The sequence below is a fragment of the Homo sapiens genome, chromosome 2 (genome assembly GCF_000001405.40).
Source record: "Homo sapiens chromosome 2, GRCh38.p14 Primary Assembly".
NCBI classification, from domain to species: domain Eukaryota; kingdom Metazoa; phylum Chordata; class Mammalia; order Primates; family Hominidae; genus Homo; species Homo sapiens.
The window spans coordinates 170,308,222-170,328,191 of NC_000002.12; the positions used below are offsets into that span (position 1 = coordinate 170,308,222).

The 19,970-nt window shown below is 40.0% G+C and overlaps 1 protein-coding gene across 8 annotated transcripts in view, besides 1 other annotated feature; it reads left to right on the forward strand.

The window, feature by feature from the left end:
• MYO3B (myosin IIIB) overlaps window positions 1-19,970 on the forward strand; it is a 477,021-nt gene that overhangs the window by 130,075 nt on the left and 326,976 nt on the right. The gene's annotated exons all lie outside the window — the stretch shown is intronic.
• Window positions 16,415-16,954: an enhancer, noted in NCBI's record as "OCT4-NANOG hESC enhancer chr2:171181146-171181685 (GRCh37/hg19 assembly coordinates)". NCBI's record gives its function as "activates a minimal SCP1, AML or CMV promoter by ChIP-STARR-seq in naive and primed H9 embryonic stem cells {active_cell/tissue: H9 hESC(naive and primed)}" and the evidence as "EXISTENCE:reporter gene assay evidence [ECO:0000049][PMID:30033119]".

Below are 19,970 nucleotides of genomic sequence, written 5' to 3' on the forward strand. Positions count from 1 at the left end.
TGAATGTTCTGTTCTAGCAACATTGCAAAAGGATGTTGTAATTGCTGTAGGCAGCGCCCTTTGGAGGCCTCTCTGGCATACAGAAGCCCGAAAGCAAAAATCAAAGAAATGATTGCTTCCTGTAATTATTTTTGTAGCCATGTTGCTGAGTGCGACACATGCATCTCTCTCTTTCTCTACAGAAAGGCACCTCCCTGGGCCTGGTGGGTATTGATCACAATATCCCTGCCCAGGATTTATGTCAATGGATGTGTGAAAATCACTGATCCCATAACAATTTTGACATTTATGTAGGGATAATTGCTGCCTCCTTTTTGATCTTAGATAATCTTTACTATCTGAGGCATACTCTGGGTGCATCCAGGTCTCTGTGCCTTTAAGTCCAATGGGGCTGGCTTCATATACTCATGTTGATTTAATTTCTCATCTTTCTCCCCAGGATCCTTTTCTTTCTTGATATATTGGAAATACCACTTTTATTCTGTATTATAGTTACTCATTCCTTCTCACATTCCTACACACCTTTCCCTGTTGGACTCTCATGCCCCTTTCCTCCCCAGCCTTCAAGAAAGACAACATCAAAGCCAGTCACTCATGGAAAAATGCCTGTTCCTTTAGAAGGGGGGACACAAATTCAAATGTAGTCAGAGGCCAAGCAGAAAATGAAAATGAGGGAAACATGTAGGTGTAAAATTAAACAATAGGAAGTAGAGGGGCCTGGGGTTAGACTGAAGAGGTTATGCCCTCTGTATCAGAATCTTATTTTTAAGGCCAGGGAGGCCAATCAAAATGTGTCTTTTGGGTGAATCTGGCCAGTTCTCCCTGTTGAATCTATAGAGCACTGGATGATCTCAAAGGGATCCTCTTGAGACCTTTAAATAACGTATGTCACTATGGCATATAATTTCCCCCATAAAATGCCACAAAGTATGTGAAAATTTTAAGTAGACCCTTCAGTACTAACAAAAATATGATAGTACAACTAAGTTGGCTAGGGACACTCAGCCTCACAATTTGAATTGGTATCTCTACCAAATCATAAATTACTGTGTGTAATAAACCAGTGGGTTGCTTGCAAATAGTCAAAACTATTACTGATAAATCATTCAAATGCTAAGGAGGTACTAGCTTCCTTTTTATCCTGCCACTAGATCTTTATACATGTTGTTTCCCTTGAAGGAATGTTCTCCCCACCGCTACCCTGAACCTTCCCTAACCTCTTATTAACTCTAACTTATCTTTTCTACCTTAGCTAATATTTTTTGCATCTTCAGGGATATCTTCCCTGATTCTCTCAGCCTAGAACCTTCTCACTTTGATTTGTGGTATTTACACTTCATGAGGGTGATTATTTGATGAAGTCTGTCTTGGCTGCTAGACTGGCATGCGTGTGCTCACTATTTTATCCCCAGTCCAGTGCCTGCTCCATGGTGCTAGTTCTGCACTGAACCTTTCCCTATTGTTGAATAAATGAATAAATGAATTTTCTGTAGACATCTTTTTTTTTTAATTTGAAGTTTTTGGATTTTCTTTTTTGAGGTGAAATTGACATAGTATAAAATTAACCATTTTAAAGTAAACAATTTAGTGACGTTTAGTACATTCACCATGTTGTGCAACCAACACCTCTGTTTAGTTCCAAAACATTTTCATCACCCCAAAAGGAAACAGTGTACTCATTAAGCAGTTGCTCCCCATTCCCTATTTCTCCCAGACCCTGGTAACTATCAATCTGCATTCTGTCTCTATGCCTCTACCTATTCTGGATATCTTATATAAGCGGAATTATACAATGTATGGCCGTTTGTATTTGGATTTTTTCACTTAGCATAATGTTTTCAAGGCTTATGCACATTGTAGCATGGATCAGTACTTATATCCTGACTGAGCTATGACTGAATAATATTCCATTGATTTATAAACACAATTTGTGTATCCATTCATCCATTGATGAACATTTGAGCTCTCGACGAAAAGCGTCAAACTCTGTAAAATATTTGAAGAGATTTATTCTGAGCCAAACATGAGTGATGATTGCCCGTGACAGTGCCCTCAGGAAGTCCTGAGAATCTGTGCTCAAGGTGACTGGGGTGCAGCTTAGTTTTATACATTTTAGGGAGGCATAAGACATCAATCAAATACATTTAAGAAATACACTGGGCTGTGCGCAGTGGCTCATGCCTGTGATCCCAGCACTTTGCGAGACCGAGGCGGGCGGATCACCCGAGGTCAGGAGTTTGAGACCAGCCTGGCCATCGTGGCAAAACCTCATCTCTACTAAAAATACAAAAAATTAGCTGGGCATGTTGGTGGGCACCTGTAATCCCAGCTACTTGGGAGGCTGAGGCAGGAGAATCTCGCTTGAACCTGGAGATGGAGGTTGGAGTGAGCCAAGATTGTGCTACTGCACTCCAGCCTGGGCGACAAGAGCAAGACTCCATCTCAAAAAAAAAAAAAAAAAAAAAAGAAATACATTGGTTTGGTCCAGAAAGGCAGTACAACTTGAAGGTGGGGGATGGTTCCAGGCTATAGGTAAATTTAAACATTTTCTGGTTGAATATGTCTAAAGACCTGGGATTAACAGAAAGGAATGTCTGGGTTAAGATAAAGGATTGTGGAGACCCAAGTTCTTATTTATCAGACTTAAAGTCTGTGTTAATGTTAACGCCAGAGATGTATAATGATGCATGTTAGACCCCCCACTTCCCATCATGGCCTGAAACAGTCTCTCAGGTTAAATTTTAAAAGAGCCCTGACTGAGGAGGAAGTCCATTCAGATGGTTGCGGGGCCTTAGAATTTTATTTTTGGTTTACGGGGCTGTTTCCACCTTTTGTCTATTGTGAATAGTGTTACTGTGAACATGCATGTGTGTATGCTTGTTTGAATACCTGTTTTCAGTTCTTTTCACTATATATCTGGGAGTGGAAATGCTGGGCGATTCTGTGTTTTAGCCTTTTGAAGAACCACCACCAAACCATTTTCTACAGTAACTGCACCATTTTACATCCCTACCAGCAATGTATGGGAGTTCAGATTTCTCCACATTTGCTCCAACACTTTTTGTTTTCCATTTTATAGCCATCCTAGTGGGTGTAAAGCGATACTCCTGGTGGTTTTGATTTGCATTTCTCTGATGACTAATGGTGTTTTAACATGTTTTCATGTGCTTCTTGGCTATTTGTATACCTACTTTGAAGAATGTCTATTCATGTTTTTTGGCCACTTAAAAATTTAACTGTTTGTGTTGCTGAGTTTTAAGATTTTTTCTAATATATTCTGGATACTAGATCCTTATCAGATATATGATTTACAAATATTTTTTCCTGTTTTGTGGGTTGTCTTTTTACTTTCTTGGTGATGTCCTTTGAAACATAAAAGCTTTAAATTGTGATGACATCCAGTTTTTTTTTCTTTTGTTGCTTGTGCTTTTGGTGTGTCATACCTAAGAATCCATTGCCAAGTCCAAGGTCATGAAGATTTACCTCTATGCGTTCTTCTAAGAGTTTTATGGTTTTATTTCTTATATTTAGGTTGTTGATCCATTTTGAGTTAATTTTACATTTGTTGTAATGTGTGGGTCCAACTTCGTCTTTTGTGTCTGTATATGCAGTTTTCCCGGCACCGTTTGTTAAAGAGACTATTCTTTCTCCATTGAATGGTCTTGGCAACATTGTCGAAAATCAATCAAATATATGGGTTTATTTCTGGACCCTCCATTCTATCCCATTGATCTGTACGTCGCTTCTTATGCCGGTAATCACACTACTTTGATTGCTGTTGCTTTGTAGTAGGTGTTGAAATAAGAAAGTGTGAGTGCTCTTTTCTTATTTTTCAATATTGCTTTTCGCACGGGGTAACTTTTTATTTGCTCCTGACTATGTCTTATTTCTTTGCACAACCTCTTCTACCACTCACAGAACCAAGTGTCCTAAGATGCACGTTTCTTCAAGGTTTCATCTTTTCTCACAGTCACAAATGTGTCTAGACTACAGTTCAGGTTTGTTGTGATTTCATGATATGACTACTTTAAGACTGGTCTGGGACAGGGTAAATTGATAGAAGGGAGCTGAAATGTGACATGAGCATCCTTCTCTGACTCATCCAGACAGCGTTTACTTAATGGTCCATTTACTTATCTATGAGCACTGAGTGTGAGAATGGCTCCCCTAATATTTAGTACAGCTCCTGGCTTTTAGTAGGGGATGACTGTGCCTATTTAGTGTATTGCTGAACAAAGAAATCCCTGACTAAATGTGAGTAGATGTCATGTCATTGCCTAGGCAAGGGTTCTGACCCCATTGACAAAGGACTTGCTGGTGGTGTTAATAAACCAGTTCTTAAATTGTGATCTAAGTTTGATCTGAACCAAGAGGCAAATGCCATCAAAGTGAATCCTGCGTGGAAGGCTGGTGGGAAGGAATAGAAATGTTTATTTTGCAATTAGCTAAGGATAAGGGACACTTTTCTGATTATTTTGCTTGGTAGCTCTGCAGACCACTGTTCTAACCACATTCACTGAGGGTTAGAGGCCAGTTGAAATCACTTCCGTTTGGTATCCAGGGAAATCACACCTACGTACAATTTTGGGGGCATGTTTCCCTACAATTATTGTTTGAATTCTGGTTACACTTAAAGCTGATGAGTTTCTTGGTGCCTTCTATGGAGTGCTGATTTTCACCTACATACCTGCAAATGTTTCTAAGTTACACATAGAGGAACTATTTATATTTCATTTGTGATATAATCATGGTGTTTTATTTTCTTAACCATTATGGAATTGAAGGACCTAGACAACTGGGTATCTGTTTTAGACAAATGTAATAAATGCATTAGCATTGCCCCTTCTTCTACTCCCAGTAATTGGCATTCCTGCTTTCTAAATTTGTGATTTTTTTGACTGTAATAAGAAATAAAATATTGCACTGTTTGGCACTTTGAAGTTGGCCTGCCTGGGTTGTTCACCTTAATACTTAACATCCTTGAGATAGTTATTTCACCTTTCTCAACTTCGTTTTCCCCCTCTGTAAAATAAGGGTTATGACCTTTCCCTTGAAGGGGAGTAATATGGATTATGTGAGGCATGTAGATAACATGTATGGCCAAGTGCCAAACATAGTGCTCAGTAAGTACATGAAAGCTCCCCATATACATACTAAAAAAAATAAATAAATAAAGGTTAGGGGTTGGGGTTAACCTTAGAAAAATGATTCCAGATGAAGAGAGGGAAAAACCTACAGCTGAGCCCATCTTCAGGGCCAGCCTTGGTCTATGTCTAATCTTGCTGCTCTCTGATCCAGTGATAGCATCTCTGCACTTGAACACTCAAAATGTTCCTGAAAGGGACCTACATTATTCAGATATGCAGCCAGCCACCTGGACCCTAGAATCAGTTTTAATGTCAGCAAGCATGATCTCTTCAAAATGCTCCTTTGAGAATATCCTGAATTCATTTAGTATTGTTTCCCCCTCTTCTGACAGGGCCTCTCTTCCTCTTTCCACGCCCACCTCTTGGCCACCCTCTCATCCCAGCAGCTGCAGGCAAGATTTCTCTCCAGCTGTCCATCAAGTCTTCAAAAGCCAGCCGGAATGTAATTGTAATCTATTTTCCACCCCTCAATAGTAGCGGGTGAAACACACACACAGACACACACACACAGCTCAAAATTGCAAGGAGAAGGGAGCCAGAGCTACCTCATGACTCACACACAGCCCTGCATGGATAATTACTGCCATTCATTACTGGCCCAGGAAAGAAAACAAGGGTCCAATTGGGTTTTCGTGAACCACAAGGCTGACAAGTAAGAGGGGGAAAGAAGGGGACTGTGCTCCCTCCCTACAGCCCCCCTGCCAATGCCATTTTCAGAAAAGTAACATCCTGCTGGCCTTCTATTCCTGGCGCACATCTTTTATTATGTTTATTTAGTGTGCAGTTTAGAATTGATACTGTGGCCAAATTCTGCCAAGCACCTCTCCCCAGAAGGACCTTGAGCCAGGTCCTTCTTTGCCTATTTTGCCTATTTTCCTGTATGAGGGCAAAATAGGCTCCGTTTCATTAATTCATGTATATGTTCAACCAACAGTTTGCATGAATTCACAGAAAAGAGCTAGATTCTGTAGGAAATGTCCAAGCTGCATTCATCTCAATGAAGTGTGTGTGATTTGCTACCCACTGTAACCCCTGCCTAGTAACATCTCTTGCAGCCATACTAGGGTGCCATGTGCTGGCTCATCCCACTGAAAGCATTCTGTCCCTCCTCTGAATTCCCTTGGTTGTGCTCTCATCTTATCACCTTTCATTAGATCTTTAATTGTTGTGGACAGAAAACATCACTAAGAAAGGGGTAGTATATACAAAAATACATCTAATCAGCTTTCAGCAGTTTTTTATATTATTGGTGGGAAATTCAATTAAACTGTATTGAATGAATGAATGATCAAATAAAGAACTATGTATTTTAAACTAAATGTTTTGTGATGGCTATGGGGAGAGGCAAGTCCTAATGAAACAATAAGATTTGGGTTAGTTGGCAGAGATGGAAAGTCCTTCTAGAATGGGAAGTGTTGGAAGAAAAGCATCTTGTGCTGGTGCTGGGAGTGAATCTCTAGAATTAGAATACATAGAAGACTACGCTACAGCTGTATTACTCAATGTTGTATTTCTTACTCAGCATTACTCAGTTTTGTGCCCACTATGCTACTCAAGACTGGTCCATCAGTATCCACGTATTTCATTTGGCAACAGTCATTCTTGGCAGGAGCTCATTAAGTGTATGGACTTTGTACTGGGTGATTACGGACCCAATTGACATTTTTAGGACTATCAAGTTTTGCTTCAAATTACAGGCATCCTGTTGTTCTTAATGTTTTATTCTGTTGGTTTATGATTCTCACAAATCAGCACACAATTCCCTATTTCTTTCGCTTCTGAAAAGACTGAAGCTTTAGGAATTAGAAGCAGCATTTAACTTATGATTCCTGAGAGTCTGCATTATTTTGCAGACTGATTGACTGATTTCTCAGAAATGTGTCATACCATGTCAGAGATAATCTGGAGAATTAGTGACAGTGAAGAGACATACAATTTACTTATAATTCTTTTTTTTTTTTTTGAGGCAGTCTCGCTCTGTTGCCCAGGATGGAGTGCAGTGGCACGATCTCACTTGAACCTCCGCCTCCAGGTTCAAGTGATTCTCCTGCCTCAGCCTCCTGAGTAGCTGGGATCACAGGCATGCACCACCACACCTAGCTAATTTTTGTGTTTTTAGTAGAGGTGGGTTTTCACCAAGTTGGCCAGGCTGGTCTTGAACTTCTGACCTCAGGTGACCCGCCTGTCTCAGCCTCCCAAAGTGCTGGGATTACAGGTGTGAGCCATCGTGCCCGGCCTTATAATTCTTAATAATAGGGGTAATTTTAACTATTGCCTATTGAATGTTTACTTCATGTTTGACAGTGTTAAATGTTTTACATGAATCATTTTATTTAACACTCATTTGATTTCTGTAATATATGTACCATTGCTATCGCATTTTACATATGATACAACTGAGGCTTAGAGGAGTTAGGAAATTGCCCAGGCTGATGAAGATAGTAAGCACTAGAACTGGAATATGAACCCAGGCAATCTGACTTCAGAGCCCACACTCTGCAGGCTCTCCTAGCCTTAGCTTATCTCTGTGACTGGAACCCTGATCCTGACAGATATCTGGAAAAAATCACATTCTTTGTCTCCTAGGATCTAGGCAGATCAATGCAAATGTGATCTCAAAATGACACATGTCTGGGCTATTTCAGAGATGATTCCAAAGCTGATTTAGTGGATTATTTTTTACTGGCATGATTACTATTGATTGTTATTGTGTTCTTAGATGAAATAATTGGCCTAGTATTCCATATTCCCATATCTCACAGTGTTATGATCTTCAAAACTTCAGCCATACATGCATATGCATATAGACACATATAAATGTGTGTGTATTAATGAAGTATATGTACATATGTGTGTGTATTAATGAAGTATCTGACTTTAAAAGCTAATTAATTATTTTAGATATAACAATTTACTGAATTATTTCCAAATTACTCTGAAACCAAGGTATTTCTAGGAAAATCAGCTGAAGTTCTTAAAATGGTCTTTAAATGAATCATTTCCTCTTCCAAAGAATTTGTTTTTGTTCCTAAGAGCAATTTTCCCTCACTGCATCTTCTGAATACTCATAAAATCTTCATTTTAAAATCTGAAAAGGTCATCTTATCTACCCACTTATGCCTGGGCAGGAAATCTTAGAAGATCATATTACTGTTTTTAATGACCTATGGAGGATGCCATGCCACCTATTTTGGCAGTTTATTGCCTTTCCTAATAATCTAGCTAGTCAGCAGGTACTTCCTGATGTGTGAACAAAATGTCTTCTGCTGCCTTGGCTTATTCCATTTGATGGTCATGAGACTAATGTTATCTTATTCATGGTCCTTTTCCTAAGGCCAGAAAATCACAGTATCTATAACTCAGTCGATAGTTATGGTCACATTCTAATTCCTTAAGTGCCTCCATCTTGAACAGTCCTCTGAGTCCCAATTGTTGTAATGTGGGTGAGGTGCTGTGAGCATGCCATCTGTTTGCGAGAATGGTGCCACTGATGGCTACACATTTGACACTGAAGATGGCACTGCTCATCTAAATCAAAATTTGGGACCTATAGAAGCTGGCTGCAGACACCTGCATTGACTCTCACTTTGTAAAGAGATGTGGCCATTGGATGGAAACATGAGCCTGGAGTGTCATTTGTATTGCATTTTTGTTTATTGAGGATAACTGCTATACTCATCTTTGTATAAAGCATGGAAGTAATAGGATCAAATTAAGAAAAACTACTTAGATGGAATAGCAGGGAAGTTTCCCTAATGAAAAGATCTGATAGACCATGGAATAGCCTTCCCCAGGAAGGCTGGTCTCATTGAGATGTGGTTATTACCGAGAAACCAAATAGTCCCCCACTGGATGCATCTTGGGCGATTTGCATTTTGGTTTGTGACTTTGATTTAATTGGAAAAGTATCTCACATCTGTTGTTGACTACATAAGTCTGTTTCCCAAATTCTAGTTATGTCACAGTTGCCTAGCGAACTTGTTAAAATGCAGATTCCTGGGCCCTGTTCCCAGAGGTTCTGTTTCATTAGGTCTGTGATAGTCTGGGACTCTTTGTGTTCACCAAATTTCCTGGATGATTCTATGCAAAGGGCTGTAAACTCTGTTTTGAAAAACATGGAGTTAGGGCCATTTTGGGAAGATTTCAGATCTGATAGTAAGTGTATCTGTGTATTTTGATTTGTCCCTTATCCTCATCCTAATACTCTAGTTTGCCCCATCACCAGAGTCCTCTTCTGTTTGCAGATAGGAGGAAATGTTTGGTGAAAGACCGGAGGTTGCTAAGAGGAGAGTATTTCTCCAAGGAGCCCTAACCTTACTCAAGCTGGCATTCCCTGTGCTTCCCATGAGGCAGCTTACTATAGGGTAGTGTTTTTCAAAATTCTGTGGGAATTTATTCTTAAAAAGGAGGTTCCATGATCAGAGAAGTGTGAGAAACATTGTGGAAAACAAAGGTAACCAGATGCTTTACTGCAGGATTTCCTAGAGTTTTTATCGTGATAAAATCTTCACCATTTTCTAAATTTTTGGTCACAGGATTTCTCATGGGACTACTGATTCATGGGACGCATTGAAAAACTCAGTGAGTTGAAAGCAAGAAAAATTAGTTTATAACTGCTACTTTTCACCCAAATAATAGAGTGACCTTGGATATGTCCTTTATTTTCCTCAAGTTTGTTTTCTCGTCTGTGAAATAAGAGTAATCATGCCACCTTACCTAGGTCATAGGGTCATTTTGAGGATTGAATGAAATACATTTGTGACAGTGCTTTGTAAAATATAAAGCATCATTAGTTGTCATTGGGAAACTAACTAGTTGCATACAAGTTTGGAGAGTAGAGAGAGAGCACTGGACAGTTTATATTCATCTTTGCTTAGACTTTCCTTAGATTGACCAAATGGGACTGAAAAATCTGGTCTGTTTACTTCACCAGGGTTTGTCTTAATACCATGTTAATGGTTAACTAGAGATTCTCTTTTACTACTTTCTAAATTATTCCACTGACACACTGATTTAACTAAATATTATAGTCCTTAATACCTTGTAGTCAATGCAGATCCAGGACTAGGAATTGGTGGCACATGGTGAAGGAGATGTTCAGGGCTATGAGCCAATAGGATGGGGAGGGCTAGGACTGGGAAGAACTGGAAGCTAGGATGCTGATGTGGTTATTGGGCTGTACCCCATGATGTGAGTGGTCTCAAGCGAAATTTCCTTGTCTTGAAGATTTTGGCCAAACTTGGGGTCAAATAAGTAAGAGTCATATATAAGAGATCCAGTATAGTGGGTGGCAAGAGCAGAGCAGGAGGTACCTCTATGCAGAGAAGACGTATATAAATTCAGTAGCTGTGGTGCTGTAATTCTGAGTTGTTAGTGTGGGTTGGAGCTTGATGACAACTAACACCCAAAGGTATGAGAATCAAGGTCCAGACCTTCTGGAGATGAGGCCAAAAAAATCTGTGTCATGTGTCGAAATCTCACCAAGTGAGCTTAGTATTAGCCCTAGTGGTGTGACCATAGTGTAATTTAGCAAAACAATAGGGAAACCCAAATATACCTATGGAACAAGCATAGTGGAACTTGAGAAGAAAGAATAGGAAAGGCTGAAGAGGTCACATATGTGGGGCTAATCTTTCTTACCCCAGATCTCAGGTTTAGGGTACAAAACTAATTTCAGATCATGTCTGCTAGGATGACCAAACTCCTACATCAGCAGTAATAATAGCAAAAGGTTATTGGGATGCTTATTTTATGACAGGCTTTACTCTAAACACTTTATGTAGTAGCTCAATTCTCAAACTGCACTATGAGTTAGGCACTTGTAGTATTTGCATTTTCTAGGTTATAAATTTGATGTAGAGAGAAGCCAAGTAAATTGTTTTAGTTCACTCAGCTAATAAATGGTGGTGTGCAGACTTGAATTCATAAAGCTTGTCTCCAGAGCTATGTTCTTTTTCACCATTTTAGGCTGCCTCCATCCCACCCCAATGATGGTGAAAAGTATAATTGTTGAAATGAAAAAAATTAATTATGGATCTCATCAGATTTGAGATGGTAAAAGAAAGAATTAGTGAATCTGAAGAGAGATCTATAGAAATTAACCAACCTGAAGAACACAGAGGGAAAAAAAGACATTGAAGAAAAATTAACAGAGCTACAAAGACCCATGAGACACCATAATGCATTACAACATACATGTAAAGGAACTTCCAGAAGGAGGTGAGATAAATGTTCAAAATTTTGTTTAAAAAAATAAGAGGTCCAAACATTCCAAATTTGATGAAAACATTAGTCTACACAACTGAAAATCTCAACAAACCCAAAGTAGCATAAATACAAAGAGATTGAGACCTTTACACATCCTAGTTAAACTGGTGAAAGATGAAGAGAAAATCTTGAAATCAGCAAGGGAAAAATCAATTGATCATGTGCAAGGGAAGGTCAGTATGATTAATGGCTAACTTTTCATCTGAAAAGTAGAAGTCAGAAGGCAGTGGGATGACATATTCAAAGTGCTGAAAAAGTTGTCAACCAGGAATTTTTTATGTAGCAAAATTATCCTTCAAAAAAAATGAAGTTAAAATAAAGGAAACCCCAGATAAACAGAGGTTGAGAGAACTTGTTGCTAGCCAACCCGCCTTACAAGAAATACTAAAGGTTGTCCTTCAGGTTGAATAGAAATGGTAACTGAAGTCCACAGTAAGAAATAAAGAGCACAGGAAACGGCATAGATGTGGGTTAATATGAAAGATTCTTTAAATATATTTTTCTCATTTTCTCAGCCCTCCCCCGCCCCAAGTAGCTGGGACTACAAGCATGCGCCACAATGCCCGGATAATTTATTTTTAGTTTATTTTTTGTGGAGACAAGTTCTCACTGTGTTGCCCAAGCTGATCTTGAACTCTTGGGCTCAAGCGATCTTCCCACCCCAGTTCTTCCAAAATGTTGGGATTACAGGTGTGAAACACTGTGTCTGGCCAGATGCTATTTTATAATGAAAATATAAGAAGTATATTTATTTGTGGCATCACGTTCATAAAGCAGAAGCTATGAAAAATACAAGGAGATGTACATTGGTTGCAAAAGTTATTTAATGAACCTATCTCATTTTGTGAGAAATAGATTTAAAAATTAAGATAGATATAAAAATAAGCAACAGTGTATGTTTTTGTGAATGTTTCATGGGCACTTGAAAAGAGATGCATCCTCTAATTTCAAGGACAGGGCTTGAGATATCGATTGGTATACACTTAGTTTTAAATATAATTATATATTTATGATATATGTTATGTATGTCATATGTAAATATTATTTACATATATATATGTGCTTATACCTGCTATGAAGTCTACAGAGACATTCTCAAATTTCAAAAATGTAAGTAGTACAGACAACATTCTCTGACCACAATGCATTACAACTGGAAATAAACAAACAAACATAGAAAACAAAAAGTCCTTACCACCTAGGTATGAAAAAACAAAACCATCTTTAACAGGTCAGGTGAAAAAAATCAAAATGGAAATTGAAGAATACATAGAAAATAACAATTTTCAAAGTACTGTATAACCAAGCTGGGTGCAGTGTCATGCACCTGTAGTCCCAACTACTTGGGATGCTGAGGCGGTAAGATCACTTGGGTCCAGCATTTCAAGGCTGTAGTGCCCTATGATCATGCCTTTGAATAGCCACTCTAGTCCAGCCCGGGCAACATAATGATACCCCATCTGCTAAAAAAATCGAGAAACAAACAAGAAAACTCCATGTCAGAATTAATGGAAAATAGTTAAAGCAGGGATTAGAGGCAAATTCATAGCCCTGAATACCTATATTAATGATCCAGAAAGAATGAAAGCAAATGAATTAAGCTTTCCACCCAAGAAATTACAATTTTAAAAAATCTAAATAAAACATAAGAAAGGATTTAATAAAATAGAAGTAGAAATTACTGAAGCAGAATGTAGAAACATAGTAGAACCAATATATAAATCATGAGCTTTTTCGGGACAAAAATAATAAAATAGATCGTTTATTAACTAACCTAATCAAGAAAAAAGAGAGAAAGTTTAAATATACAAAAAATAAAAAGAGGGAAGTAACTACAGATACAGAGGAAGTTAAAAGAACTACTTATCTTAGTTCCTTGCGAATGAACTTGAACACCTTAATGAAAGGGTCCTTTTTCTAGGAAAATATAATTTAGTGAAAAGAAGGAGACCAGACAGACAAGAATGCAGCATTATTCACTAGTCATTCACAACTAGAGTGAAGTGAGAGAGATTACAGTTTCTTCTCAGGCATGTCTGGGACATGCCTGAATACTCAGTGTGTTTCTGATGACTTAATGTTGATGTATTTATTTTTCATCTTAATTAAGATGCAGTATCAGTGATACACTTCCCCAGTTTCTGAAAATTCTTGTGTAAATACACTTGCTGGCACTGTGTGTTCCTGCTAGAAGAGTAGGCCGGGTGCAGTGGCTCATACCTGTAATCCCAGCACTCTGGGAGGCCGAGGCGGGTGGATTTTGAGGTCAGGAGATTGAGACCATCCTGGCCAACACGGTGAAACCCCGTATCTACTAAAAATACCAAAATTAGCTGGGCGTGGTGGCACGTGCCTGTAATCCCAGGTACTCAGGAGGCTGAGGCAGGAGAATTGCTTGAACCCGGGAGGTGGAGGTTGCAGTGAGCCAAGATCACGCCACTGTGCTCCAGCCTGGTGAAAGAGCGAGACTCCGTCTCGAAAAAAAAAAAAAAAAAAAGAGTAGCAGCACTATAATATAGCACAGTTCCTCCACCTTCACCCCACTCCCACCCCAGGAAGTGACAACAGATTGATTTTTGAAAAAGAAATCTACGAAATAAACACTTATCTATTAGTCTCCAGTATCCTCCTTCCTATTTCTGTCCCCTCAAAAGGTTGCTAGGCAACCGGGTAGGAAAAAATGTCCAAAGCCCTTTTAAAGAGAAGACATGCTTACAATGTCAGAAAAATAAATGTGTGCTTGCTCAGTTAGGCCCCCTTACAAACTGCCAGGACCCGCAGCATAATCCATTCAGTAGCAATTATTGCAATTGATCTTGAGGTTGGTGAAAACAATTGGCCATATTCTGGCTCAGTGGAGACATGACCCAAGCCATCCAGGTGTGAGAGGGGGTGCTGCTGTGGTGTCTTTTGCCCTTGAAAGAGGACGAATGTTCGGTAGTTACTGCTGGGGCCTCTCTGCCCATGTGTGTGATTCTATTCTTGCAGTTAGTACGATCTCTATAAAGCCTTTGTAGCGCTCACTGTTGTTGATAACCAGTCTTCCTCAGGAACTGCTACTACATCTCCTCTGGCATTTCATATATCCACCTGACTTTAAATGGAGCCTGTCAGCCTATGCTTCTGTGGGCATTGGCATGCACATGGTCTCTGGTGATCCAGGCTCAGATTGCTCTAAGGAACTGTACAGCCTTCCTACCTGGTGTGTGTGCCAGGGTCTGCTCATGGTGACAGGTGTTGATGTTCAGCTGCTAATTTCCCCCATTAGAGACAATGTGGTAGGATCTGATGGTACAATCTGTTCATCTGAGGTCTGCCCTGATTTTTTCTGTCTAGAATATAATGCTAACTTTATGGAAACAATAAAAGAAGAAATAGATGCACAATCTGCCCTTTAAATGGTTTTGCTTTGTTGAGGAAAAAAAAATCCATAGTAGTCAATTTCTTTTTGTCTATTACAAATTTATTAACAGTGTGTCATAATTAGGTGCATGGCTTTGCCTTAGAGGACAAATGGTGCTTGTTGAACTGTGACGTTGGTCTTATTGTGGTAAAATGACCCATTTGGTTTTACCAGCTGTGACTTTGGAGGGAGCTAAATGACAGAAAACACGTAAAACTCAACAGATGAAAACATTCTCAGCTCATACTCTATCGCTGATCATTCAGCATCTCAAACAAAATGTTCTTTGGATTTGCTTGCTAGTGTCTTATAATCTGAAGAATGCTAATGCTTAAGTTGATAGGATGAACTGAAGAATAATATGCTTGAGTTGATGCTTAAGTTGATAGGATGTCAGAAGGGCAACTGGCTTATCATATCAGGCCTGGATTCCCCATTAATATGATATAAAATGCTCTAGCAGAATCTAAAGAAGTGGTGTCTCATTAATCAAGAATAAATCCCAAATGCAGAAACAAGATGGTTGTAATTGTGGACTTTGGAATTGGGCTGCCTGCATTTGAAGCTCGGCCGCACCATTACCAGCTTCTGAACTTCTCTAAGCCTCTGTTTTCTTATCTCTAAAACAGACTTGTTTATCTTCCTCATAGGGTTTATGTGAGGATTAAATCAGCACATTATTAGCACAGTGCTTTCACATAGTAAGTACTCAAGAAGTGAGTTATTATTATCTAATAACTTATTATTGTTAGCTGTTGTTATTATTATCATGAATGACTCAGGCTTCAGAAATATTAGACTGCAGAAAAATGGTCCAGCTTATAGGAAAGTCTTGGGTTCCTGACTGGACCTAAAAGAGCCAGGGGGAGACCCATGAATCAGCTCCCTTTGGCTGACTCCCTATCTTTGACTTAGCACTCATGACTGAGTTGGTGAGAAATTGGGGCCCAGAAGAAAAAGGAGTTCCCCTTTTATGGCCATGATCCTGGCAAAAGAGCTTCGAATCACGTGGACTTTCACTGGTTCCTTTACCTTTCTATGTTGGGCGAAATCCTAGAGGCAGAGCGACAGGAAAGAGTCAGAAAGGTGCCATGCCACCTGACTCTTCACTTTTTCAGCTCATACAACATTGGAATCATAGGAACGGAAACCCATAAAGAGATTAAGTCTGTATTTGTGGCCCTTTCCCCTCACTGGCCCCTTTGCTGGATCCCTTTTTCTACATTTTTATTCTTGACTGTCATTTATCCCAAGGAAGTTTTGGTCAATAAAGGTTTACAAAAGGATGCCTCACAGAACATTCCCATTTCAAATAAGGAACTTCTGGATTGAAAAACTATGAGTCTTAATGAGGAAATTTCATGCCCATCACAAGACATGTCTTTTTAAGTAGGGGAAGAGGGTTTCTATAATCTCTTCTTTATCTCTCAAATATATGCAAGTGCTCCTAATGTCGGAGGAGACTGGACTCAGTCAGTTGACGATAGCTTGAAGTTGCCTATTGCAAGCCCCAAATTGAAATTCCTTAGAAGCTGGTTTTTTGTCTTTTTTTAAAGAGCGTTGTAACATTCCTGGCCTCTCTCTGTTTTCTAATTCACTTCGTTCCTGCACTTTTCAGCGCTGAATCTACCCTTTGCTCTGCTTTGTGATGCTGGAGTGGACTTGGTGAACATTTCTTCTTTGCCATGTGGCAGATATTAAGCTTTGTCAGCAGAGGGCACTAGAAGGCCACTGCAGGAGGAAAGAACGCTCTTGCAGGTTTCAGTGTGCTTTTTCCTAATTGCTTCTGTGGCCTTTGGCTCTCAGTGGCATTTGGGACACCCTGTGGTGCTCACCCTCCAGCGAATTCTTCTGGCACCTAATCTGGTGGCTTCTCAATGAATTTCAAAGGCACCCCAGCAGGTGGTCTTATGCTTGCCAGCCCTGGCTTGTCTCACCTCAGAGAACTTCACCACGGAGGCCCATAGTGATAGCCTTTCCACTGAGGCCTGAATCTCAGGCTTGGGTTTGGGGGCAGGGGCTCTTCCAAATTTGTTTCTTCTTGGGTACTCCATCTCAGTAGAGGTAGCAGCTGCTTCCAATACCTGCTATATCTGTATTCTTTAGAACTCTCTTTACTCCTTAGTATCTAATCCGCTGTTACAAGTTAAACATTCTTTTTTGTTCTGTTTGGTTTGGTTTTTTTTTGAGATGGAGTCTCGCTTTGTTGCCCAGGCTGGAGTGCACTGGTACAATCTTGGCTCACTGCAACCTCCGCCTCCCAGGTTCAAGCAATTCTCCTGCTTCAGCCTCCCAAGTAGCTGGGATTACAGGCACCCACCACCATGTCCGGCTAATTTTTGTATTTTTAGTAGAGACGGGGTTTCACCATGTTGACCAGGCTGGTCTTGAACTCCTGACCTCAGGTGATCCACCCGCCTCAGCCTCCCAAAGTGCTGGGATTACAGGCGTGAGCCACTACGCCTGGCCTAAGTTAAACATTCTTTATATTAAATTTTCTTTGTTCAAATTTCTGGTGTGGTTTCCGTCTTTTGATTGGACCCAAACTGATAGATGCTAGAGGATGAGAAGTGATGTATGCAGATGGTGAGTTTGGGGAGGAACTGGTCGTGCATGGTCCTGCTCTTTCCCTTCTGCTTTCTTCTGGAAGTTAGCCTGCCTGCTTGATTGCTCTCAGCGTAGTTAAGCTCAGGGGCAAAGGCTGTGTTCCTGACTGAGGTACCTGTGGTGGTCCAGCCCAGTCCCAAGACTGGCCAGATAAGTCTATCTCTACCTCTGCCTTTCAGTTTGAGAAAGTCCACTCCCTGCAGATGAAAGCTACATTCTCCAAGATCAGTTCTATCTATAATAAAGGTATTATTTTGGACCTTATCTGCTGACTGTGTTCATCGTGTTCAGAATCCAGGTAGGGAGAAGTCCTGTTTTTATTGCCACTCCCCTTTCCCCAACAATTTTCATATAAAACAACTCTTTTAAAATAACTTGCCACCAGAAAAAGTGATTGATAAGCACGGCATGTTTAACCTTTGGCTTTAACTATACCCCGGCCCTCCCCCATACCACTGTGGTTTTTATCCCACCACACATATAAAGCTTTTTTTTTTTTTTCTTAAAATACTAATCTAATTGAGGAGTGATTCTACATCTCTCATTAGACACACTGTAATGATCACCTTCAAAGAGCACACTTCCAAAGAACCCATGTAAACAGTCCAGAATTTGATGATGGAAAAGCATTTAGAGAACAACATGATCTATTTGAAACACATCTCTTTAAAATAATAATTTTTTTAAAAAAATTATGCATTTACAAATGTGTGTGAAAAAGAACAGGGTTGTGGTTTCCACTCTATATGTGAAGGACCACCTAGGAAAAGGGTCGTTAGCCAGTCCTGGGGCAAGGTCTACTTCCCTGACACACTGGACAATAACAGTTGGAACTGATGATATTGCCGAGTTCTTATTGAAGGAGGAAATTAAAGAATGGATGTCAGTAAATGACCACATTGGCTCAGACAACGAGCCACACACCCACTTGTCCCCTCCATCATCTCTATTGACATGGCACCTTCTATTGTCCTTGACTTTCTCCTGCACTCTTCATGCATGGCTGAATTGCTTATGCGTCCTGTGTTTGCGTAAGGAGAGTACAGTAGAGGGAAAGGTACCCCAATGTGCTTTAGAGATAATGAGAAAATGTGATTCATGCCTTTTGTGAACACTTACATTTTGAGGTAGTGGTCAAGGATTAATAGAGCTTGGTGACACCCCCAAACCTCTGCAAGTCATTCCCACAGGCCTGGGGTAATAATACCTGATATGGGAAACATGTAATCTTCATATTCTGGGATGGCCTTTGAAGCAGATTGGTGCTGGGCTGGAAAGCCAGAGGACGTGAACACCTGTCACTTACTGACTATAGTGGTTAGGAATGGTTTATTATGAACTGGGTGATTCAATGTAGTAACTTTACATTTTAGTGATTATAGCCTAACATTGCAAATGGCATTATTTAAGGTATAGGACCAAACAGGTCATTAAGAATCAGAATCAAAAGAATCAACAAGGCTGGGTGTGGTGGCTCACGCCTGTAATCCCAGCACTTTGGGAGGCCAAGGCGGGCAGATCACAAGGTCAGGAGATCGAGACCATCCTGGCCCACATGGTAAAACCCTGTCTCTACTAAAAATACAAAAATTAGCTGGGTGTGATGGCACATGCCTGTATTCCCAACTACTCGGGAGGCTGAGGCAGGAGAATCGCTTGAACCCAGGAGATGGAGATTGAAGTGAGCTGAGATCACGCCACTGCACTCCAGCCTGGGTGACAGAGCAAGACTCCTTCTCAACAACAACAAAGAAGAATCAACAAGCTTGAAATTTAACTACAAGCTTTTGCTTTTCTCCTTACTACCTTTGGTAATTCCTTCAGTTACTGTAAAGTATCATAGTTATTAATCATAGAAGCTTCCCTTTCTTAGACAGTGGTAATCTAAGGCTGAGATGTGATCTAGGAGCATTTTGTCTTTGCTTTCTTCCAGACATTTCCCCATCTAATGTTCTCCTTACACATCTCTTCTTCTCTTCCTTTTCCCTACTTTAAGGGATTGACCCTGATTGGGAGGTGCCTTTGTGGTGGATTTAGCACTTAGCATGGATATCTTTTCTAACCTGGACGAATCTTTCACATTTAATGACGGTATAGTATGTAGCATTGTGATACTGATTTCTGTTTCATTTTCATATCATCTATTTTCTAATTATAAATGCCTCCAACTATTTCTGTAATTTTTTCAAATGTTTTCTCTAGTGGAATTATTAGCATATATATATATATACACTATATATAGTATATATATATAATGTATAAATATATATATTTGAAAGACAGTCTCACTTTGTCACCCAGGCTGGAGTACAGTGGCTCCATCTCGGCTCACTGCAGCCCCGACCTCCCAGGTTCAGACGATCCTCCTGCCTCAGCCTCCCAAGTAGCTGATACTACAGGCACCTGCCACCATGCCTGGCTAAGTGTTGTATTTTTAGTAGAGACAGGGTTTTGTTGTATTGCCCAGGCTGATCTTGAACTCTTGAGCTGAAGTGATCTGCCCGCCTCAGCCTCTCAAAGTGCTAGGATTACAGGCATGAACCACC